The sequence below is a fragment of the Homo sapiens genome, chromosome 3 (genome assembly GCF_000001405.40).
Source record: "Homo sapiens chromosome 3, GRCh38.p14 Primary Assembly".
In the NCBI taxonomy this organism is placed as follows: domain Eukaryota; kingdom Metazoa; phylum Chordata; class Mammalia; order Primates; family Hominidae; genus Homo; species Homo sapiens.
The window spans coordinates 120,646,063-120,671,850 of record NC_000003.12 but is presented as its reverse complement, the minus strand read 5'-3'; the positions used below and the strand labels follow the sequence as shown (position 1 = coordinate 120,671,850).

The window sequence follows — 25,788 nt, the reverse complement described above, 5'->3', positions numbered from 1 at the left end:
TCCATCCATGTCCCTGCAAAGGTCATGATCTCATTCCTTTTTATGGCTGCATAGTATTCCATGGTGTATATGTACCACATTTTCTTTATCCAGTCTATCATTGATGGGCATTTGGGTTGATTCTATGTCTTTGCATTGTGAATAGTGCTGCAATAAACATACGTGTGCATGTATCTTCATAACAGATTGATTTATATTCCTTTGGGTATACACCCAGTAATGGGATTGCTGGGTCAAATGGTATTTCTCATTGTAGGTCTTTGAGGAATCACCACACTGCCTTCCACAATGGTTGAACTAATTTACATTCCCACCAACAGTGTAAAAGCATTCTTATCTCTCCACAGCCTTTCCAGAATCTTTTTCTCTTATAAATTAATATCAAAAAGACAAACCCAATAGAAAATGATAAAGGACTTCTACAAGTAATTCACAGAAAAACTATAAAGAGCCAATAAACAAATAGACTTGTTTTTTGGAAATATTTTGTATTTTCTAATTCATAATAAAGGAAATACAAAATAAAATGAGATACTATTTTTCACCTAAAACACTAAAATTTTTAATAATACTCCAGATTTGTGAAGATGTGGGTGACCAGGCACTCTCACACGTTGTTAGTATGATAATAAAGAGTTAAAATGATCTGATAATTTTGTTTAGAAATGCACTGGACGTATCTGAAAGAATATATAAGAAATATATAAGAAAATCACTAAGCTCTGATGCCTCTGAGGAATAGCCCTGAAGAAACTGGAGGACGAAGGTGCCATTTACCTTTCAGGACTTTTTAATTACTTGAATTATTTTTACCTTTGGCATGTATTACTTTTGTAATTTTAAAGGAGAAAATTGATTTACTATTTCAAAAATAACAAAGATACCACCCATATTCTCTCAAGCTGCGTAGAACTCATTGTTCTTGCCTTCCAGAGCAAGGACTAGCATCCTATGATACACACATAAGCTAATGTTTTTCTATGGATTTTCCTACACAGATATCCCTCAAGGTACTTCCCCTTCCCTTATAGTTTTTAGAAAAGACAATTCTTCATTTTTTGGCAGCATGGAAATAACCATGAGTCAGAGTCCATTTGAAGCATGATGGGTGGAATGAAAAAGTGAGAAGAGGCCAGGGCTGTGGGCAGCAGATGGCCATGAAAAGTGATGCTGTATCATTGCTTCACTGCTTCACACATTAGAGCCTACAGGTCGTTGTTGACTTGAGTGTCTTCCTGATGGTACTGCCTGAGCCATTCTGTGTATCACTCAGAACATTACTCTAAGGCTTGTATATCTTGTATGTTTTTCCCTCTAGCTGGCTGTATAGGATTCTACCTTCAGTTTCTCACAAGCCCTTTGAATCCATTGACGAAGGCCAAGTCACTCACAACTGGGATGAAGTTGATCCTGATCCTAACCAGGTAACCTGGTCCTGTGAATTGAAGCTTATCATATACCCAAAGCCTTGACTAGAAATACCTAAATAGAATACCATGGTCATTGGAAAAAATAGATAGTTTTTTAAAGTATTATTTTAATAAATGCTAAAGTGTGTCTGTTTTCTGCTCAAACTTGGGTGGTGTATTAGTCCATTCTCATGCTGCTATGAAAAAATAACCAAGACTGGGTAATTTATAAAGGACATATTTTTAATTGACTCACAGTTCTGCATGGCTGAGGAGGCCTCAAGAAACTTACAATCATGGCGGAAAGGGAAGCAAACACATCCTTCTTCATATGGCGGCAGGAGAGAGAAGTGTTAAGTGAAAGGGGGAAAATCCCCTTATAAAACTATCATATCTTGTGAGAACTCACTATCATGAGGGTAACCATCCCCATGATTCAATTACCTCCCACCATGAATGTCCCTCCCACAAAACGTGAGGATTATGGGAACTATAATTCAAGATGAGATTTGGGTGAGACACAGACAAATGATATGAGGTGGGAATTTTGGAAATGATGGATTGATTATGTATATACATATTGTTAAAAGAAAAACCTTTGACAAATCTAATTTAACAGAGTTTAATTGGGCAAAGGACAATTCACAAATTATTCTACCTGAGCCAGGATAGGTTCTGAGAGATTCCAGTGCAGACACTAGTAGAAGACGATTTATGGACAGAAAAAGGAAAGTGATGTACAGAAAACAGAAATGAGGTACAGAAATAGCCAGATTGGTTGCAGCTCGGCATATGACTTACTTGAACACAGTTTTAATAGTGTGTCACCATGATTGGCACAAGAGTAGGTTACACATCCAATTAGGTTATGGTTCACTATGTATGGAGAAACCTTTAGGCAGAACTTAAAATATGTAAGGAGGCAACTTTAGGACAAACTTGATTAACAGTCTGCGTGTGTGTGTGTGTGTGTGTGTGTGTGTGTGTGTGTGTGCACATGCGCACATAAGCTTGTATTTTTCTAGCCTAATGGCATATAGATGGACACAGGAGTAGTTCGGACTTACTAGAACTGCTCAGGTGAATTGGATGAGCGGAAATTTTATAGGTTGGTCAAAATATTTTATATTTTATAGGTTGGTCAAAATATCTACATGCTCATGGTTTTTTTTTTGTTTTTAATCTAAACTTACCACAAAATATAGAAAATACATTCAATACAGACATCTTTGAAGAGAGGCCTTTGAAATCTGGCATAGGGGTGAGAGTCTTGCTATCTGGGCTGAATTATGCAAGTCTATTGTGGTCACAGATCACTATCACAGTCTCTTCAGACCTAGGACTTCCATTCTTTTTCTAGGAGTTTCCTCCTTTTGGTCTAGTAATAGTGGGCGTTTTCTCTAATTATCGTTATTACTTACGTACTCTGCTTGCAGAGTATATAAGATAAAATGAGACAGAACCAGTACTATAGCAATGAGATAGACCCAGTGCTATAAACGACTGAGCTCTTTTTTTAACCTTCTGAGAACCCCAGTGTATTGCCTTTGTCCCTGAGTTTAGGTACATGTTGCTGATAATAGGTATGTAGGGCAGGAAGAAAAACAGACCTGGGTTTGCATCCCTGCCCATCTACTTACTAGCTGTGTCTTAAGCTATGATGTTTCAATTGTAAAATGGGATGATAACATTTGCCTCACAGTGCTATTGTGAAGATTATGAGAGAATAGGTGTGAACCTGCTTCATACAATGCCTGGCATGTGATAGGCAAGAACCATGATTCTGATACAGCTATTTATATTTACCTGAATTTACATTATTCAGGTAACTTTATTTCTTCATTTTATATTATTTTTTACTCTGAAGGCTTCTTCTGCCCTCTTTCCCTCCCTCCTACTCTCTCTCTCCTCCCTCTCTCCCCACCCCGCCACTTTCCACAACCCAAGGAAATCTCCTGCTTCCCCTTTGTTTACCATGACATTTTGTCTATACCTGCCAATCTCCCTCCCCTAAGTGCTTAGACTTTTTATAAGACAAAAGTCAAAATAATTTATAGACACCTTTGGTTTCCTGCCCAGTTCTCTCTCTTGTCTTAATTATGGAAATCTCAGCGAAATAAGCATCTGCTTGAATGTTACCACCCCTCTCTACCAGGGACAGGAAGGGAGGGAGGCATTTAGGGTGGAAAAATGTGAATTGGTATTTAAAATACTATCTACCTCATAGCCACTTTGAAACTAAGATATTTTGTCTAAATAATTGACCCTTAAACTCGTATGAAGTTTAATGCATAAAGCAGACATCCTCCCTGGTCCCCAGCTGGCCTATATATTGCCTTTAAGCACATTGCAAAATGCAGCCCCTATTCTAACCCCCAACCCCTTAGACTCAGTCCCCCACACAAAGGGACACAGACGAGGCATTCAGCTCCTCCCTTTCCCCTTCAGTGGGACAAGGCCCTTGCACAGGGCACAGCTTGCACAACCAACCTGGGGACCCTGACTTCACCTCATTCCTGAGTCTCATGTGGATTCAAGTAATATGGGTATAGTAATTATGTATATGAAGTTAACTAAATGAGGGATTATAAGAAAAGTCCATGGGCAGATTTGGATAATTTAAATTATTGTTTATTTATAATGAAAAATAATTATTTATTATTATTTTGCTTCAAGATAGCAATCAAATCAGTAGTGGTTAACAGGGTAGGCTGGGGAGTTCCAGGGCTCCTGCCTGCTCATGTCGATCACAACAATTTTCTAAGCCTCTCAACCTTAATAAATCTTCATAGATCTGTTTATAGTTGTGTGGACAACAGTGGAGCCATACTTCTTTTACATAGTTTTATTCGGGGTGGGAGGTTAGGTTTTAAACCTAACCTTTAAAGAAAATATGTGATGTGACTCTACTTTGAGTGTGATGTGTAATATGCTCAGTAATATACCTTTATTATATATTATTATTTCCTTGACTATCATTGCTACATTTTATTTAACATGAATACACCCTTTCATAGGAACTATTTTGGAGTTCGTGTGACATATCCATGGAAGACAATCTTGTTCTAATAGAATTTTTCTAGCTTTGTCTTTTTTTTTTTTTTTTTTTTTTTTTGAGACAAGAGTCTCACCCTGTTGCTCAGGCGGGAGTACAGTGGTGTGATCACAGCTCACTGCAGCCTTGACTTCCCAGGCTCAGATGATCCTCCTACCTCAGTCCCCTGAGTAGCTGGGAATACAGGTGTGCACCACAATGGCCAGCTAATTTTTTGTATTTTTGGTAGAGAAAGGGTTTTACCATATTGCTCAGGCTGGTCTCGAACTCCTGGGCTCAAGCAATCTGCCTGCCTGAGCCTCCCAAAGTGCTGGAATTACAGGCATGCACCACTGCACCCAGCTTAGCTTTGTCTGATTGTATGAGTAAAATATACTTATAAAAACCCAAAAGTATTGTAGAAATTAATAAAATATTACTGGACGTCTCCCATCATTAAGTGAGAGTCAAGTATATAAGTTGTACATGTTAATTCATTATTTCATAAATAGTTGACATACATTTTGACCAGGAAGTTTGAAGCAACTGGATTAAAAAGCTTGAGTTAATACAGAGGCATCAAAATAGCTGTATCAGGGTGGGCATGGTGGCTCATGCCTGTAATCCCAGCACTTTGGGAGGCCAAGGCAGGCAGATGACCTGAGACTGGGAGTTTGAGACCAGCCTTACCTGAGGTCAGGAGATCGAGAACAGCTTGACCAACATGGAGAAACACCATCTCTACTAAAAATACAAAATTAGCCAGGTGTGGTGGTGCATGCCTGAATTCCCAACTACTCGGGAGGCTGAGGCAGGAAAATTGCTTGAACCCAGGAGGCGGAGGTTGTGGTGAGCCAAGATTGCACCATTGGACTACAGCCTGGGCAACAAGAGCAAAACTCCATCTCAAAATAATAATGACAATAATAATAATAGCTGCATTGGAAGTTTCTGCTTGTTTTCTAGCAGACCCTCAGCCCATATTTGTTCCCCTTCTCCCCGCTTCCCATGTCTCCCATTCTAACCTATGGTTAGAATGGCTTTGCTTTTGTCCTTGAACTTGTTGCCTTTCTTCTGTTTTGAATTCCCTGAACACTTTCTATATGGTAGCCACCAAATGAATTTCTTCTCCAATATCTTCCCTGCTCCTTTGAGACCTTGTCTTCACACACACTGGGAGAGATGTGCCTCAGAATTCAATAGCGTCTCAGTGTCTCTGTGAACACCGGCTCCAACCAGGTAGCAGTTTATTATCTTTCTGACTTGTGACCTCTGTCACCTGCCAACTACTTCTCTCTCCATGATAAACCCTGGCTGATCTTGCAAAATCTACCCTTTTGTCTTTTCTTTTACACCTTCTTTACAAGTTAATATCTCTTTCCAATTTTATACTTCATTATTTAACCACAGCATTTTGCATTCATCACTTTCTCCCTCATAACCTCCTCCAAATATGTACTCCAGACTCTCAGCAAGAAAGGCTGAGAAAATTATATTTAGGCACCCTCTGACAGTCCTTCCCAGCTGAAGCCTGTGTGATAGGTATGTCTTCACCTGTCATAGACCAAATCCAATACTTCATCAGCTTCACCAACTATCCACATTAGTCATCTCTGGGAATTTGAAGACCTGAGGACTGCCTGATGATTCCTCCAGTGTAACATTTAGTCCCAAAGGCAGCATCTTGCAATATGTGATCATCACTGTCATCCTTGATACCCTCTCAGGAAGACTGGGGGCTGCTCCCCCTAAAGCCTTCATTTTCTTTAGTGTATATTTAATCAGTTATCCAAGAATTAATGCAACCTCTTTTTGAGTGTATTTAAATTCAGCCTGAGGACATAAATTCAATTAATTAATACCTCACATAAGAAGTATACCTAATTTTATGTGTCTGCCTCTAATTTCTGAAGTCTCAGAATTTAATGAACTAATCTACATCCAATTTAACCATGATTTTACAGATTTCAGCTAGAATTCCTGAATTAGCACTTCTCTTTAAGAGTCCTTTAAAATTTATTTTTCTTATTATTTCATTCTAACCTCTTGATTGTTGAAAAATCAGATTCTTGACTCAGTTAAGACTCAGCTGAGAAAATTACCTCTTGGTTCTTAACCAGTATAATTTGGATCAAGTGAGAAATACCTCAAAGCTAATTAAAGAACATATCATAAAATGCCTTCTGTCTCTAGTACATGCAAATTATAAAAAAAAGTTTCAAAACAATATACCCTTACAGGGTATTTGCTGTCTAATTTGTCAAACTTTCCAGGTTTTGCCATCCTGAAATCCCCTTCCCTCCACAAATGTCTTGGATTTTCCTGCCTCTCTTGCCCAAGTCTGTCCTAGTCACAGCCAGACTCCTTGAGAAATAATCTAAACCCACTTTATCACCCTCATTCACTCTTTAACCCTATGCAATTCAGCCTGCCCAGATGACTCTATTGAAAATATTTATACCCTCTTTACACAATAGTGCATCACTCTCTAATTAATACATATTTTTATTTAAAACTTACATTAAAGTGTCAATGCCCAGTAATTCCACTAACACAGAGTTAACAACTTCTAATGTTTTGGGTTCTTTCCAGTCCTTTCTTTTTGTACATATATGTAAATAAATAATTCCTAGGGTCCCATGTAGCCAGTAACCAAGAGTAATTTAAAATAATATCTGGCCAGGCACAGTGGCTCATGCCTGTAATCCCAGCACTTTGGGAGGCCAAGATGAGAGGTTCACTTGAGTCCAGGAGTTTGAGACCAGCCCTGGCAACATAGCAAGACCCTGGCTCTACACAAATGTGAAAAAAAATTAGCTGAGCATGGTGGCAAGCACCGGTAGTCCCAGGCACTCAGGAGGCTGAGGTGGGAAGACTGCTCGAGCCTGGGAGGTCAGGGCTGTGGTGAGCCCTGTTCATGCCACTGCACTCCAGCCTGGGCAACAGTGTGAAACCCTATCTCAGAAAAAAAAAAAAAAAAAGGAAGAAAAAAGAAAGAAGGAAAGAAAGAAAGAAAAGAAAGAGAAAAGAAAAGTTAATCTTTACTTGTTTTTCCTGAAGACATTAAACAGTATCCAATATATGACCCACAGCAACACTTTTTAAAATCCCCTTTTTCCAGTTTTTCCCAGACTCCAACCCTCTCACATCTGTCTTCTCTCACCTCACCTCTCACCTTCCCCAAGCTCTTCATGCCTTGTCACCATTGATTGTTGGCTTCTCTCTTCCTCCCTGTACATTCTGCCTCTAGAAAATGATACCTGCACTGTAGATCCCCTACCCCATTTGGCTGGGATCACACATGGTGTTATGTGGGATAACACACACATAACAGTGACCTCCATGGCAATACTGGAGTTCAAAGGACTCCAGTGAGAATAGGCAAATCTGAATTTTCCGCAGAGATCAGGGAAGGGAAGAGGAAGAGGCTATGAATACACTTATAATAGTGCTTTTAAAAAAAAAATCAGTTACATATATATTTACTATAATTAAGCTGATGGTGTAATGCAGTCTTAGATTATTTTTATTTAAATATCATATTTTGCGCCTTTTTCCATGTCTTTTTAAACTTCTTGAGTGTAGATATTTTTGATATTATATTATAATCCAATAAATGTTTATAAAAATTCCTAATATTGTGAGATATTTGAATTTTTTCCATTTTTGCTATTATGTAGTAAATCCACGCTAAATATAATCCTTTTCTCCTCTACATCCCAGCCTGGAACAACAGACCTCCTTCTTTTCTTCCTGAATCCCCTTTTTTCCCTGGGTTCCATGACATTGCATGATTCCCAAACCTGCAAAATAAGTATTCTTCAAGGTCCTGAACTAGAATCTTGATATAGTTTGACTGTGTCCCCACCCAAATCTCATCTTGAATTCCCACGTGTTACGGGAGGGACCTGGTGGGAGGTAGTCTATCTGCACAAGCTCTTTCTTTGCCTGCTGCCACCCAAATGAGATGTGACTTTCTCCTCCTTGCCTTCTGCTATCATTGTGAGGCTTTCCTAGCCACGTGGAACTGTAAGTCCAATTAAACCTTTTTCCTTTATAAATTACTCCTTCTCGGGAATGTCTTTATCAGCAGCATAAAAATGGACTAACACAACTCTCACCTCCCCCTTGTCATCATCTCCCCTCTGAGAGAAGGGGAAGTACTTACTCTCTCTCTTCCCCTCCTCTTCCTTACTGTCTTTCTTATCCTCCTCTTTTCTTCTCCTTCTCTTCACCCCAACCTTCCCCTTCCCCTCTGTATTGTTCTGCTAGAGCTATCATAACAAAAAGATACTGGGTGGCTTAAGCAAAAGAGATTTACTTTCTAACAGTTCTGGATTCCAAGATTGAGGTATCGGCAGGGTTGCTTTCTTCTGAGGCCTCTCTCATTGACTTGTATCTTCTCCTTGGCTCCTCACATCATCTTCCCTCTGTGTCTATAGCCAAATTTCCTCTTCTTATAAGGACAACAATCATATCAGATTAGGGTCCACTCTAGTAACCTCATTTAAGTTTAATTATTCCTGTAAAGACTCCATCTCCAAATATAGTCACATTCTGAAATACAGGGGGTTAGGAGTTCAACATATGAATTTGGAGGAGGAACACAATCTAGCCCATAATTCTCTCCTTCTGCTTGTTTTTCCCTCTAAATATCTACTAAGGATTCCCACTCTTTTGGATTCTCTTTGCCTTAGAGATGAAGGGATAGTTGTTGATAAGAAATAATCAAGTGGGACAAACTAACAGGAGGAACTCCTTGAGCAATAGAGGATTTTCCTAGCTCACTACACTGAATCAGGTGCCAAGTCCATAGAATGGTGATGCCTGAGTATACATAAGAGTTACCAGGGGACTTGTTGAAAATGTAGATTCCTCAGTCTTGCTCCCCAGAGATCCCAGTTCAGTAGGTCTGAGGTGGTACTCAGGAGTCTCCCCAGATGACTCCCATGCAGGTTGGTGCTGGACTGCACTTTATGAAATTCTGCTGTAGAGTGTGCTTTCAGGATCTCTCTGGTTCCTTTTTTCCTTTTCCTACCTCCACCTGGTTCAGACCTCATTTCTTCTTACCTAGACTATTTTAATGACCTTCTACCTGATTCCTATGTCTTCCCCTCCCTATCCCACACCGTGCTGCCAGAATCAGCGTGCTAAATTATCATCTCAAAAATCTTTAAATCTAACCATCACCCGCCCCCTCCACTGCCCAGCCAATCCAGTGCAGGCTTCCAGATAAGAGATCAAGAGCTCTGATTCACTATCACAGCCTTTCAGACTCTCCACTCACTTCCATGTCCCCTACCTATCAGTCACACTAGAACCATCGTCATTTTATCTACCTGGGATTTCCTGTTCTTCCATCACAAATACTCACCCATCTAAATCTCACTCACGATTTATGATTCATTTTAAATAATACTTTCTTCATTATGCCCTTTCAATATTTCTCAGAGTATTTAAGGTTCTATGTCTCTATCATCTTCATCTGATCTGCAGTATCCAGTACATGCCTTCTTCCAAATAGAATCGCAAGTATTTGTTGAATTTACTCCCTGATAGTTCAGATCCTATCATTCTATAAATAAATTAGATTGCATTTCTCTAAATGCATTCAGTGGTGTGTGCCAACATTACAGTGCACATTCCCCTGCTCAGCCCTTTTGGACAGCTTGCTAGCTCTTTTTACATTTCATCTCCATCAACTTACATTTCACTTCTTGCAAAGATATTGGCGCTGTCTGCAAACCAGATGATTTCATTGCTTATATCTCTTATTTTCCATATATAAGAATGTTAAATAGGCCCTGTGCCAGGACTTATTCCTGAGAGAACATTTCTATTTACATTTCTCTTCCAAAGTTATTTGCACTGATCCACTTCCTTGTTTTTCTATCATGAGGTTTTCACATTTCCAGGATCTTCTGTAATGGATTACCTGAGGGAAGAGACAATGTCATGTTCACCTCCAGCATCTAGCATAAAATCTGGCACACAGAGAGGTTCAATAAATACTGTTTGAAATAATTAATATAAGGGGATTAGACAAGAAACATTAACCCTGAAGGACCTAAGCAGGGTTAGTGTCCCAGGAATCAGACTGGCCAGGGTGATTCAGCACTGGAGGAACAGTAAACAAAGGTCAATTTGGAAGACCAGGTACAAGACCATTAAAAGGAGGGAAAGCTTGGGTTTAGGAGCCAAGGAGATCAGGAATAATTTGGGAAACAGGTCAAGACAGGCTAAGATCAAAGGGCTCAGGGTGTAGGTTAGTAAGAGGGTCTGAGAAAGTGTTGGCATCAGTTCTTAGTAGAGAAAATTTAACTGTTCTAAACCATCAGTTTTTTCACTTCTAAAATAGAGATGATAATAATAATCATAGGGAGCCTCAGAGAGTTGTTGTGAGAATTAAATGTCATCCAACAAATATTTATTGAGTGACTATTATGTTCTATACTTCGTGCTAGGTGCTAGGTAATGGATTTAAAGCTCTTAGCTTTACATTCAAGGACAAGGTCAAATGAGAATCCAAGTTTTCATCCTTGATGGCTCATCTTCATTTGTAGCCTCATGAAAGACTTTTGTTATGTTTTGTTTTGTTTTTTGAGTACAGGCTGGAGTACAGTGTTGTGATATCAGCTCACTGCAATCTCCTCCTCTTGGGTTCAAGCGATTCTCCTGCCTCAGCCTCCCAAGTAGCTGGGATTACAGGTGCCCACCACCATGCCCGGCTAATTTTTGTATTTTTAGTAGAGACATGGTTTCACCATGTTGGCCAGGCTGGTCTCGAACTCCTCATCTCAGGTGATCTGGCCGCCTCGGCCTCCCAAAGTGCTGGGATTACAGGCGTGAACCACCTCGCTTGGCCTGAAAGACTTTTAGAAATCTAAATTACAGTGACTTGGATCCTCATTATCTATATTCTTGCCTATCACCTCAAAGAACTCCAACGGATCAACCAAAGCCTGATTTCTCTCCACATAATTCATGCTACCTTTTTTTCCTCAAACTTCCAAAGTTTCTGAAGAATTCAAGTGAGCCACTGTTTTATTTTAATCCTTCCTATCTTTCTTAGTCTGGACTGAAACTCACCACCACAAATTACCCTGGATCTCTCTGCTAACAACTATTTATACATTGTATTAGTCCATTCTTGCACTGCTATAAAGAAATTCCTGAGACTGGGTAACTTACAAAGAAAGGAGGCTCATAGTTCCACAGGGTGTACAGGAAGCATAGTGGCTTCTGCTTCTGGGAGGGGCCTCAGGATGCTTCCAATCATGGTGGAAGGCAAAGGGGGAGCAAGGTATCTCAGATGGCAGGAGCAGGAGCAAGAGAGAGAGGAGGGAGGTGCTACACGCTTTTAAAGACCAGATCTCATGAGAACTCACTGTCATGAGAACAGCACCAAGAGGGTAGTGCTAAGCCATTCGTGAGAAATCCACCCCCATTATGCAACCACCCCCCACTCTCTCTTGCTCCTGCTCCCATCATATGAGATGCTCCCATCATATCTTTGCCTTCTGCCATGATTGAAAACTTTCTGAGCCTCTCCAGAAGCAGAAGCTGCTATGTTTCCTGTGCAGCCTGCAGAACTGTGAGCCAATCAAACCTCTTTTCTTTATAAATTACTCAATCTTAGGTCTTTGTTTATAGCAGTGCAAGAACGAACTAACAAAGAAAATTGGTACCAAGGAGTGGGACATTGCTATAAAGATAACCTGAAAATGTGGAAGTGACTTTGGAACTGGATAACTGGCAGAGGTTGGAAGAGTGTGGAGGGCTCAGAAGACAGGAAGATGAGGGTTAGTTTCAAACTTCCTAGAGACTTGTTAAATTGTTGTGACAAAAATGCCAATAGTGACATGAACAATAAAGTCCAGGCTGAGGAGATCTCAAATGAAAATGAGGAACTTACTGGGAACTAGATCAAAGGTCAAACTTGTTATGCCTTAGCAAAGAACTTGACTGCATTGTGCTCCTGCCCTAGGGATCTGTGGAACTCTGAACTTGAGAATGATGATTTAAGGTGTCTGGTACAAGAAATTTCTAAGCAGCAAAGCATTCAACATGTGACCAGGCTGCTTCTAACCGCCTATGCCCACATGCATGAGCAAATAAATGACCTGAAGTTGGAACTTAAATTTAAAAATAAGTTTAGATTTAAACCTATATTTAAATTTTAACTTGTATTTAAAGGGAAGTAGAGTGTAAAAGTTAGGAAATTTTGCAGCCTGGCCATGTGGTAGAAAAGAAAAGCCCATTTTCAGGAGAAGAATTCAAACTGGCTGCAGAAATTTGCATAAATAAAAAGGAGCCAAATGCTGATAGCCAAGACAATGTGGGAAAGGCCTCAAAGGCATTTCACAGACCTTTGGGGCAGTTCATCCCATCACAGGCCCAGAGGCCTAGGAGGGAAGAATGATTTTGTGGGCCAGGCCCAGGGCCTTGCTACCCTGCACAGCCTCAGGACACTGTTTTCTGCATCCCAGCTGCTCCAGCTCCTCCTGTGGCTCAAAGGGATCCAAGCACCGCTTCAAAGGGTGCAAGCCATAAGCCTTGGTAGCTTCCATGTGGTGTTAAGACTGCAGGTGCACAGGATACAAGAGTTAAGGCCTGGGAGCCCCCACCTAGATTTTAGAGGATGTATAGAAAACTTAAATGTTCAGGCAGAAGCCAGCTGCAGGGGCGGAGTGCTCACAGAGAACCTCTACTAGGGCAGTATGGAGGGGAAATGTGGGGTTGGAGCTCCCACACAGAGTCCCCGCTGGGGCATTGCCTAGTGGAGCTATGAGAAGAGGGCTACCATTCTCTAGACTCCAGAAAGGTAGATCCATCCACAGATTGCACCGTGCACCTGAAAAAGCCACAGGCACTCAATGGCAGCCCATGAGAGCAGCCGCAGGTGCTGAATCCTGCAAAGCCACCTGAGTGGGGCTGACCAAGACCTTGGTAGCCCACCCCTCACACCAGTGTACCCTGGATGTGGGACATTAGGTCAAAGGAGATTTTTTTGGAGCTTTAAAATTTAATGACTTCCCTGCTGTGTTTCAGACATGCACGGGGCCTATAGACCCTTTGTTCTGGCCAATTTCTCCCTTTTGAAATGGAAGTATTTACCTAATGTCTATACCCCCATTGTATCTTGGAAGTAACTAACTTATTTTATATTTTACAGGCTCATAGGTGGAAGGGACTTAACTTGTCTCAGATGAGACTTTGGACATTTGAGTTAATACTAGAATGAGTTAAGACTTTTGGGCACTGCTGGGAAGGCATGGTTATATTTTGACATGTGAGAAGGACAGGAGATTTGGAAGGAGCCAAGGGCAGAATAATATGGTTTGGATCTGTGTCCCTACCCAAATTTCATATCAAATTATAATCCCTAATGTTGGAGGTGGGGCCTGGCAGGAGGTGATTGGATCTTGGGGACAGTTTCTCATGAATGGTTTAGCACCATCCCTGTTGGTACTGTCCTCATGATAGTGAGTGAGTTCTCATGAGATCTGGTCATTGAAAAGTGTGTGGCACCTCCCACCTCTCTCTCTCTCTTTCTTTCTCTCTCTCTTTCTCTCTCTCTCTCTCTCTCACTCCTGTTCCTGCAATGTAAGCCATGCCTTCTCCTGCTTCACCTTCTGTCATGATTGTACATTTCTTGACGCCTCCTCAGAAACTGAGCAGATGCCAGCATCATGCTTCCTGTACAGTCTGAAGAACTGTGAGCCAGTTAAACCTCTTTTCTTTATAAATTACCCAGTATCAGGTAATTCTTTATAGCAATGTGAGAACAGACTAATATGTACACTATGATGACTATTTCACCGAGAAATTACTTCAAAATTCTTGGATAGGTGGTACTCACTTCTAATGATATGTCTGTCTATCCTCAGCCAGTGTTGTTGAGAGTACTCAAGTCATCCAATCTAGTTGAGTCCATGGGAAATTTGGAGGGAATCTCAGTAAATTAAAGAATTTCAGTTTTGAAAGGGATACTTGGATCATCTAGTTCAACTCCCAGTATTCTAACTGGAAATATTTAGGCCAATTATCTAATATTTTCTTTTCATCTCTGAGCATGAATTTTGAATCTTGATAATCAAATGTTGATACCAATTCTGTCTTCCTCCTTTGGTAATCTTAAGTAATTTTTAATTCTAACTTTGGACACCCTTAAAGATGCTTTCAAATTATTTTTGACCACCTCATTTCTAGCAAGTAAAAGTTTATCTTCCAATAGAACTCATAGAATACAGTTGTAAAATATGTGAAGCAATAATACAACTAAAAGGATAAATAGACAAATCCACAATTTTAGTTGGAGACTTCAACACCCCTCTCTCAACAGTTGATAGAACAACTGAACAGAAAGTCAGAAAAGATACAGAAGTGATCTACAGAAGGAGCAGGATTGGAAAAAAAGTTTTTTAAAAAAGAAAGGATATGGAAGTGACGATTTTACACGTGTGAAGAACTGACATTTTACCTTTGGACTTTTAGAAATATTTGATTTTCTAGACATCGCCTGAATGTTATTTTGACTTCCAAAAGATCTCACGGTCCAGGCACAGTGGCTCATGCCTGTAATCCCAGCACTTTGGGAGGGCGAGGCAAGTGGATCACCTGAGGTCAGAAGTTCGAGACCAGCCTGGCCAACATGGTGAAACCTCATCTCTACTAAAAATACAAAAACTACCCGGGCATGGGGGCATGCACCTGCAGTCCCAGCTACTCAGGAGGCTGAGGCAGTAGAATCGCTTGAACCCAGGAGGTGGAGGTTGCAGTGAGCCAATATCGCGCCACTGCACTCCAGCCTGGGTAACAGAGCGCGACTCCAACCCCCCCCCAAAAAAAAGATCTCAAAAATTTACTTTATTCTTGTTCTTAGCAATGTTGTTAGTGCCTTAGATTTATTCATCTATTCAGTCATTCAACAAATATTAATGCCTACTATAGTCAAGCCATTGCATTGGGCATTACAATTGATTTTATTATTTTTGAAATGTTTAATAAGTAAATTCTATAGAGAAGAAGCTATTTAACAATAGCATATAGTATAAATAAAATAAACTATTTTTAAAAGTTGTAGGACTATATTAGTCTGATCAAGCTGCCATAACAAAATACCACAGACTGGGTAGTTTAAACAACAGAAATGTATCTTCTTACAGTTCTGAAAACTGAGAGTCCAAGTCCGAGGTGTTAGCAGGGTTGATGTCTTGTGAGGCTCCTCTTTGGTTTAAAGACAGTCCTTCTTACTGTATCCTCACATAGCCTATCCTCTGAGTGCAAGCAGAGAGAGAGATCTCTTCTTCTTATAAGGCCATCAATCCTATCAGATTAGGGCCCCACATTTATGATCTCTTTTAACTTTAAAACCCATCTCTAAACATAGTCACATTGAAGGTTAGGGCTTCAACACACAAATTTGGAAGAGGACACAATTTAGTGCATATCAAGGACTAAATCAGTCAGCAAGCATCCTTTACTTCTTTCAGAGTTTCTCCTCTGGAGAGAATTATGGAATTATAGTTCTCACCAGCACCTGTTGTTATATGTAAGAAAAAAACAAAATTTGGGAGAGAAAATGGCTTTCCTGAAGATCACAGAGAAAACGGGAACAGAGACAGTAGCAAAAACCAAGTCTTCAGTGCACTCTCCTTTTGGTCTGGCCTTGGCTCAGAGAGTTACTGCTCCACAGCATACAATAAAGCTGCAGCTGGCTTTAGTAGATGTTTGTACCATGCACTCCATGGACTCTTCCTATTAATCCTCTGCTCAAATCTCCCTCCTCACACTTATCAAAATATCACATCAGCGCTCCTGACCAAAATCTCTGCTTTCTCTTGTGAGTACTGAGTTTATCAGAACCACCTTGGGGATTTTCTTATCCTTCATGATACAGGCCCAGTATGATCTGAATATAGATTCTGTATAATCTTCTGCCATCAGGGCCAACAGATAAATGACTCCTCTCCCTATACTATCTCTGTCATTTGGTGGGGATCATTTTTTGCATTAGAGAAGGTTCGTCAAGGTCGTTGCTTCTTCCGGATTGTGGGCCCTATTGAAGGTATGTTCTCTTCACTATGAAATGTAGTTGCATTTTCTTCCACCACCTCAGGCTCTCTGTTCTCATGACTTGAGGGCTAATGTGCTACAGAAGACCTTGAAAAATGACCAGCTGACCTGGTCAACCCATCAGTCTCTCTGGCTCAACCTTTTCCACTCAAAGAAGACAAACCCCTTCTCTGAGGGCCAGGACTTTATTACCACTCACAGCAAGGTTTTTGTTTGTTTGTTTGTTTTGTTGTTGTTGTTTTTGTTGTTTTTTGTTTTTTAGACAGAGTCTCACTCTGTCACCCAAGCTGGAGTGCAATGGTGAGGTCTTGGCTCACTGCAACCTCCACCTCCCAGGTTCAGAAGATTCTTCTGCCTCAGCTTCCTGAGTAGCTGGGACTACAGGTGCATGCCACCACACCCAGCTAATTTTTGTATTTTTAGTAGAGATGGGGTTTCACTATGTTGGCCAGGCTTGTCTCGAACTCCTGACCTCATGATCCACCCACCTTGGCCTCCAAAGGTGCTGGAATTACAGGCGTGAGCCACCGCCCCTGGCCTTACCACAGGTATTTTAACATCAGGCAGATGTACAAAGATATTGTCCCAGTACAACAAACCAGGCAGAAAATCCCCTGCTACTGGGATTTCTCCCTCTCTCTCTTCTTTCTTTCCCCTTGCTCTTTCTTCTTTTTTCTTGATCACTTTTTTCCTTAGATTTGTAAATCCTTAGACTTGTACTAATTAATCACTCCTGCTATTTAGTAACTGGCATTGTCACTGCCACGTATGGCCCAAGATGCCAGAATTTAGTTGATTGATCAGTTGGTGGGTTGGTTGGTTTGTTGACTGGATGGACTTTTCTGAGTATGATGCTTGGTTCATCAATACAAGAATCACAGAACCTCTGGATTGGGTTCTTAAACCCTAGCTGCACATTAGAAGAACTTTTATAAAATACCGATGTCTGGGCCCTACCTTCACAGATTCTGATTTAATTTGGTCTTGGTCTCAAAGGCTCTCCATGTGATTCTCATGAGTGGCCAGGATTGAGAATCTCTGGATAGAGCTAAAAGATTACGCAGGCAACCATTGATCTGATACTTAAATCCCTTCTACTGGGAAATCCAGAAAGATGACTCTTTCTGGATTTTCTTTCTGAAACTAAGATTCTAGGTAGTATTGTCTTCCTAACAATCTTCCTGGGTATAAATACTCTGCTCTGTTACTATAGAAGGAAGCAGCAGGTAATGTTTAGTGGTAGACCAGAACTTCCCCTAAAAAATCCAGCAGTGCTTAGCTGTGGCACTTCCTGATGTTAGGGAAATATCCTCCCAGGTCAGTGGTTCTCAACTGGGAGAAAATTTCCCCCAAGTGATGTTTGGCAATTTCTGGAGACATTTTTGGTTGTTACAGCTTGGTGGAATGTCACTGGAACCTGGTGGAGGCAGGCCATGGATGATGCTAAGCATCCCACAATGCACAGAACACCTCCCCACAACAAAGAATTATTTCGTGTAAACTGTCAATAGTGCCAAGATTGAGAAACCATTTCCTAGATCCTTGCCCTCAGGTCCCCCTATTATACCCCTAAGAGATACCATCCTTAATGAAATTAGTCCTAAAGCATTTCCTTCTTTCTGAAGCATGATTTCAGCACTGTTTCCCAAATCAACATTTTACATCCTTTTTAAGTATCTTTTAATGTGACCATCCTGCTTTGCTTTTAAGAAATGAAGGCTGCTGCCTGACTGTGTGTGTCAGAGAGGCAGAATAATCCCAAGGCTGCCTTTTCCACTTGCTGCTTCCTTTCCCATCTGGCTGCCTCCCTGAAATACAGAATGAGCTGAGCCCTATGACCTGATGGAGGCCCTGCCAAGCCCACCTTGACCAGGTGCTGCAGCCAGTGGAGCTAGTCTTCAGGGTGCGGGTCGCTCCATGAAACGTGGCAGCTGGGCTTATCAGCTGCCAGCCTGGATAAGTCAGGCCTGCTGCCAAGTTGATTAATAAGCGCTGGGCTGACACTTCAAGAAGGGCCTAAACCTGCTGATTTTCCTCCCCTCTTCCTTAGATCATTTCATTATTAAATTAAAGATTGTTGTGATTTAAACTGAACTGTCAGGCAGCCTAGGGACAAACGTGGGGTTTGGTGAAGCAGCTGAACCTGGTACTGCATTTACCAAATCAGATCTCAGCTGGGTGCTCTTTCTTTCTCTTAAAAAAACAATTTAGAACTCTAAGGGCTTGAAGTAGAAGTAGAACCTTCCCCTGCAGTGTCAGGAGCCCACACAGGGAGGCTGGCATGCCAGGAAAGGGACCTGATTATAAATAGCATGAAAAGCAGCATCAGTCAAAACTCACTGATGTGCCTGGGCAAAATGTTAAAAGAAACAAATAGCTTCTAAAAAAGGAAGCAATGGTTTTATTTTTATAATCTAAAGTGCTAAGGAACAAAAGCAGTTTATATTCACATAGTTTTAAACACACAAACATGTGTGTGCACGTGCACAAATAACACACACTAACAGAGTCCCTTTAAGGAAATGATGGATAATCATTTTAATATAACAAAATCACAAGTAGAGCCTCACAGAGGGGGTAGCTGTCCTTTCTTTTCTATGTAATTGATGCTATTTATTTAGAAGGTCTATGGTTTACCCTTGTGAAGTAATTTTTCTGTATGTGTATTTTTTTTCCAGCTTAGATGGAAACCATTTGAGATTCCAAAAGCATCTCAGAAGAAAGTAGACTTTGTGAGTGTAAGTCAGTCCCATCCACACCCTCCCTACTGCTCTCCTCTCTTCTGTGGTGAGTGAGCCAACCATTTGCAGCCTGAATGCCAAGCAGAAGCAGCCCTATCAGGAGGCAGCAGAGACAAAACCACCTGCGTATGCTTTGGGGGCTGGCGGAGGGATGTCTTACTTACAGAAACCATATGGCCCCTGACACCAGAGGGTATTCATGAACTATTTATATCTCAGAAAGGCCAATGACAATTGAACATTTTCTTACTTAAGTTCCTTTCTTTTGGCTAGAACGGGGGCTTTTAACCTTTTTCTCACTTTGATGTCTGATGTCTGATGATGTCTTTGTTTATAAATATATAAAATAAATTATATAAAATTACAAAGAAGCTAATGATATTGAAATATAACGATAAAAATACTATTAAAAACAAATTTGATTTGGTTTATAGTCATTCATGTGCTTTCTTGTTAATGTGCTAAATCATAATATCTATGGAAAACATCTAATAATTCTGGTATGAGCATAAATATACTTTGAGGTATCTATAACAACTATAATGTGATATCCATGATTTTTATCATTGATAAAGTTACAGGCACCTCTAATACTGCTGTGGTTTTTTGCCTACATTCATATTAGTTGAAAGAAATGATAAATTTCACTCAGAGATTAGCAAAAGTAAATATAAAATATTTCCCATCCAAGTTCATAAATCTCCCTGAAGTAGATGCTTGGGCTAGAATGGCGTCAATTCAACATGGCAACTCTAGTTAGTACAATGCTGATTGGAAGCTCTGTTTGGTAGTTATAGGTCCCAGGAGTACTGGAATAACTGCACAGAGCAAGGAGTATCTGGGGGAGAGGAGAAAGGAGCTCTAAGGAAGTGGGGCTCAAAGAGACCAGTGGAGGGTTCTGCAGACCAGCCTCAGCTCATGGCTTACGTAGGGACACTCCAAGTGCCGAGCCATAGGATAAATTGTTGGAAACATCTTGAAGTTCTCATCTTTATTAAGTGCTCCAAACTCTTTGTAGACTCACTTAAATATACCCTAAACTTACAAATTGAGTTAAAATACAAAATGATATCCCCATCTCCTTTCTTGTGTGAATTGTAGATATCTGGAGGCGCAGAGCTCTCTCCTTTTGGCTCTCCATCTGCAGGTTTGGGGCTGAGGGCTATTTTGAGAAGACCCATGTGTTAAGGTTTCTTGCACTATGGATCATCTGGTCACACAGCAGAGAGAATTACAGTCCATCTGAATACAGTCCTCTGCCCTGTTCCAGAGAGATTAGGCTGACCCTATCCATAAGCAGAGGGCTGCCCATAGTGGAGTGTACTTGAGAGGCATTAACTGGTCCCTGATGCTGCAACCTTCCTCCCCAAGCCTCCTAGATGCCTGATGGTACCTCCAACAGAATCTCTTCTTCCAGTTGATGTCAAGCATCAAATTGATAAAATACCAAGTAATGAACTGATACTCTGTAAGTTCTTCTGATATAGCCACTAAGACAACCCAGATTTAGGCCATGGCTGGAGACTAGGGTAAACCACAAACTACCAAACATGAGTCAGTAAATTCAGGCTCCTTAGAGGCTGCCTGGATTCCAAACGTCCCACCGGTCCCAAAGGGAAGACCCTAGTAGAAATGTGCCTCATGACCCTCAGGGACCAGTGGAAGGGCTGCCTCTTGGGCACCGTTCACATTAACCTTTCCCTCTTCTGTGGGTCTCTCCCAGGGCCTGCATACCTTGTGTGGAGCTGGAGACATAAAGTCTAACAATGGGCTTGCTATCCACATTTTCCTCTGCAATACCTCCATGGAGAACAGGTAAGTGGCTCAGTTCTAGGGAAGGACATGCCCATCTTCTAAGGGATTTTGGCCAGAAGTCAAACTCCAGGTTTCACTCTTGTGAAGTCACATATGCACATACATAGTTGTTTTTGTTATTGGTTTTCTCCTCAAGGCAATATTCATATATATTTATTGACAATGATAATGAATGAGACAAAAGGCATTTATCTTGACTGAACATCAGTGATATAAACAAGCACATCACATAACAATGTAAACAGAAAAGGGAGGATGGAGCCCTGGAATGCAGGAGTAGATCGAAAGGCATTTTGACTTTAAGTCTGAGTCCAAATATGCTTTTGTTGTTGTTTGATATTTCAAGGATTTTTCTGAGCCAAATATGAGTGACCAATGGCCTGCGACACAGCCATCAGGAGATCCTGAGAACATGTGCCCAAGGTGATTGGGCTACAGCTTGGTTTTATACATTTTAGGGAGGCATAAGACATCAGTCAACACATATAAGGTGTACATTAGATCCAAACTGTGGTTTTTATCTCAGTAGAAAAGTAACAGCAGATTTAAAGCAGGCAGAAAAGAAAACAGAGAAATAGAGAACTTAGAAACTCTGTAGTTGCAGGTTGACCTTTGGGCTCTGAATGATACAATTTTCCCATTGGTTTAAAATGTGCACAACAGACTGTAATATGTAACCAGCTGGAGTACTAGAAACTCTGGCATACCCTTGAACTTTTCCATTTTACACAAACACTTGCAAGTAGAGGCACCTTTCTCCTTGTCTTTCCTCATTCTTAGATTATTTGTTTCCCACGTTTTTTTTCTTAAAAGGAGGAACTGAGCTGTGACCTAGGGGTTTTGTGGGTGGTGGATTGGTGTACTGAATGTAGGCAGGACTCCACAGTGTTTCACCACCGAGTCGTTTCCACCCTCTTACCTGTCTCAGTTTCTCTCTCCAGAGATCTAGCACCTCTGAGAGGCCTCAAAATGCCAAGTGATCAGCTCTTATATGTATTTCCGGGACAAAACTATTTTTGGGGGGGTTCCCTGTAGCGCCACTGCACATCACAGGGGATGAATCCCTCAGACACTGCAACTCAGCCCCTAGTCACCCAGGGTGCCTTTCAGTTGGGAAGAACAAAATGCCCTTTCTCTTCAGAGCTGAGGAGCTCAGTCTCTCATTTATGCACAAAAATGACAGTCACACGAATGCGCAGGCAAGCCAACTGAGCTAAATTTGGGGAGAAAAAACAATGGAGTAGACCATTTAGAATACACCTCCAAACTGGAAACCAAACAGGGTACCCAAAAGGGAGTCATTCTTGTTGTCTTTAGAAAAAGACAACGGAGGCCGGGCACAGTGGATCACGCCTGTAATCCCAGTACTTTGAGAGGCCGAGGTGGGCGGATCACGAGGTCAGGAGCTCGAGACCAGCCTAGCCAACATAGTGAAACCCCATCTCTACTAAAAAATACAAAAAATTAGCCGGGCGTGGTGGTGGGCGCCTGTAATCCCAGCTACTCAGGAGGCTGAAAAAGGAGAATTGCTTGAACCCGGGAGGCGGAGGTTGCAGTGAACCGAGATCATGCCATTGCACTCCAGCCCGGACAACCGTGTGAGACTCCATCTCAAAAAAAAAAAAAAAAAAAAAGAAAAAGAAGAAAAAGACAATGGAGAAATCCTTTAGAATGGACCTGTGAACTAGAATTAGGAACCTAAACAAGAGCTTCCTAGGAGGGAAAAATCAAGAACTGTCAACCAAACAGGGCTCAGGAGGACTTAACAGTTCCATCAGAGGAGAAGCCCAAAGTTGAAGGCGCTTTCAATAGGTCCCTGCTGATACCTTAGCTCTGAGTTCAGGCAACTCCTTCAGGGTTCTGAGTCTTCTCTGAGGCCCAATGTGTCCAGGTGCCAAATTATTGTTGACAAAAATAGTCAAACTATTAATATGTAAAATATTTGAATTGATGTATTCTGAGCCAAATATGAGTGACCAGTGACCCATGACCCAGCCCTCAGGAGATCCTGAGAACATGTGCCTTTGAATATCCTTAATTTCTAAGGTTCCCCAGGGCTGTTCTTGAGTCCCAGGTCACAGTGTGTGAGTTTCCATTAGGACCACCCATTAGTAGCAGGCTACCCGACTTTGGCTTCAGCTAACAGCTCTGTGTAAGCTTAAAATTCTTAAGTAGAGGAGCTTATATACTGGCTTTGCAAAACAAAGTATGCAAATGGCATTCCTGCCTTATTATACACTACCTCTGGAACTGGACCATTTGTGTCCAAAGCCCAACTCTACATTTCCTGGCTGAGCGACCTTGTGAGCCATGAATCAGGGACAAGATCACAGCCCTATGACAAGGCTCTGGAGGCCTCTCTTTGGGTCAAATCTCATATCAGGCCACCTCCCCTCTCTCCACTTGAGCCGCATTGGCCTTCATTCACTTCTTTCAAGCTGCCGCGTGCCCTCCTTCTAAGCACTTGCACTTGCTGTTCCTTCTGCCTGGAACATTCTTTCCTTTCTCCAAACCCTCACCTAGATAACACCTTCAGATATCCGGTCAAATGTGTCCCTTCTTTGAAGAAGCCTTTGCTGATTCTTCAAACTAACCAAGTCGCTATTCTTTCATTCCCTCAAACTTGATTTTCACAGGGTCATTACAGTCTGCAAAGATATTGTTCTGTAATTATTTGATTGCTCTCTGACTCCCCACTAGACTCTAAGTTCCACAAGGGCAGAGCCTGGGTCATTTTGCTCCCCATTTTATACCCAGCTCTGAGCTTGCTACATAGGCACTAAACAATGATTTGTGTTATGACGTAATTTGTCTAGACAATGTTAAAACTGAAAATCACAAGAATTACTCTATATGTTTCAGATGCTTTTACAATTCAGATGGGGACTTCTTGATTGGTGAGTTCTGAAGACTTCAGACCCCCTCACTGTTAATTGACCCCTAACCGCAAGCTGCTTTCTAATTTTATACACATTATTTTCCTTCATTCTCCAATCTGTCTTATTTCATTTAGTGCAATCCAGAGACTGAGGTCTAGAGGCCACAGGTGGTCTGGAAAAGATTTCTAGTGTACCTCAAAGCCCCTACTCTATTTCCTTGTCTCTCTGTCTTTGCCCATCTCTTCTGGACCTTTCTGATGTGGGAGACCTGGGCAGCTGAAAAGAAATGAAGACTAATACTAATGGGATTAACTTATTACGGTAACTGTATTTGCCTTGAAACTCTCTCAGTAAAAGCCCATTTATCATTAGTAACTGCAATTTAAATTCAAATTTTCATGAGACCATCTAAAATGTAAAGTCTATCAGAGATTGTTCTGGTCTGCCTATTATACTTGATGGTTTTTTAGTATCAATATTTTGGAATCAACATTTTCGTGTATATGTCACACAAGCAAATGTCAGCCTTTCACTGGAACTATCAGAAATGGGTGATTTTCCATCCTATTTCTGCTACCCCTTTTTGACCATGTCACAAAATTGTGCATATACAAGTTCCTTGCCTGGTGACCAAAAAAGCAGAGTCATTGTTTTATTCACATTCTTCTAGATAGGAAAATAGCTAATCTAAGTTGTCAGAATTTATCTTTTTCCCCAAGAGACTCAATAAAGCTCTTTGCATTTGGAATGGAAAAGCAAATGCAGCCTTAAGCCTTTCCTGTTCATGAAATGGTTATCACACCAAAAGAATTGCTCACCACTGCCCTGTCTTTTTTTGTCAGTTCCGCAGAAAGGGAACCTTCTCATTTACACCGAGTTTGGCAAGATGCTTGTACAGCCCAATGAGATCTGCGTCATTCAGGTTGGTGATGTGTCCCCTTCTCTTCCCTGCCTCTCACTAATTTGGGAGCAGTCAGATGTTTCAGCTGCTGCTATTTCCAACTCTAAAATTTCTCTGTCATGTCTGGGCAACGAGGAGGGAATCTGAGTTATGCAGAAGGTTCCATGTGCTGAAGAGTAAGCAAGCTTGGGTGCCTGCTTTCTTTTAATATAGCACATAATTCTAAAGGAAAGACCACTTGTCATTGCACTTTCCTAAATATTTACATATACTCTGGATAAGGCCCTGTTCCCACTAATGGCAGTAGAGGCAGTGAAGGTGGACTTTTTTTTTTTTTAGTGTGGCTAAATCAGGCTTACCATTATCTCTGGACCCAATGAGAGGGTAGACTAGAATTGGCTTGGGTCACATGTGTGATTAGGAATTCAGTTTTTCTTTTTAAACTGAATTTTAAAAATTTCTTTTTAAAAAAATTCAGTTTTTCATGTTTGCTCTGGTCACCTCCCAAGCAGCTCAACAAACAAGAGCTTTACTTTTGCATGTGGGATGGGCTATGGCTCTGGGCAGCTTCTTTATAACTACAGCTGTGATTTCAGAGGGCACACCAGTGTCTGCTTTCCATTCCAGAGAGGAATGCGGTTCAGCATAGATGTCTTTGAGGAGACCAGGGGCTACATCTTGGAGGTCTATGGTGTCCACTTTGAGTTACCTGACCTTGGACCAATTGGTAAATCTTCATTACAAGCCTCTAAGCCTCGCTTGAGATGTAGGACTCAGATAATTGCATGAAAGTTAAACATCCTTCTCCCTTCGCTGTCTCACTCAAACTTCCACTTTTCTCTCTAGACAAATTCTTCTCTAGACCAAGTGTCTTCCCAGAAAATATATGCAAAACAGAAAGCAACCCAAACCAATCCATTATAAATCTCTC

General features: G+C 41.1%; 1 protein-coding gene across 8 annotated transcripts in view; it reads left to right on the top strand.

Annotated features, from left to right (window-relative positions):
- The window catches only part of HGD (homogentisate 1,2-dioxygenase), a 54,068-nt gene that overhangs the window by 10,389 nt on the left and 17,891 nt on the right, over nt 1-25,788 (top strand). For 5 of the 8 annotated variants that reach the window (NM_000187.4, XM_017006277.3, XM_011512746.3 and 2 more), the window contains exons 4-9: nt 1,319-1,424; nt 19,200-19,259; nt 20,986-21,077; nt 23,940-23,974; nt 24,799-24,878; nt 25,485-25,584. In NM_000187.4, coding sequence (NP_000178.2) covers nt 1,319-1,424; nt 19,200-19,259; nt 20,986-21,077; nt 23,940-23,974; nt 24,799-24,878; nt 25,485-25,584 — 473 coding nt within the window. The remainder of the gene's footprint in view (nt 1-1,318; nt 1,425-19,199; nt 19,260-20,985; nt 21,078-23,939; nt 23,975-24,798; nt 24,879-25,484; nt 25,585-25,788) is intronic. The other 3 variants (XM_005247412.3, XM_047448059.1, XM_047448058.1) reach the window with 1 other exon arrangement.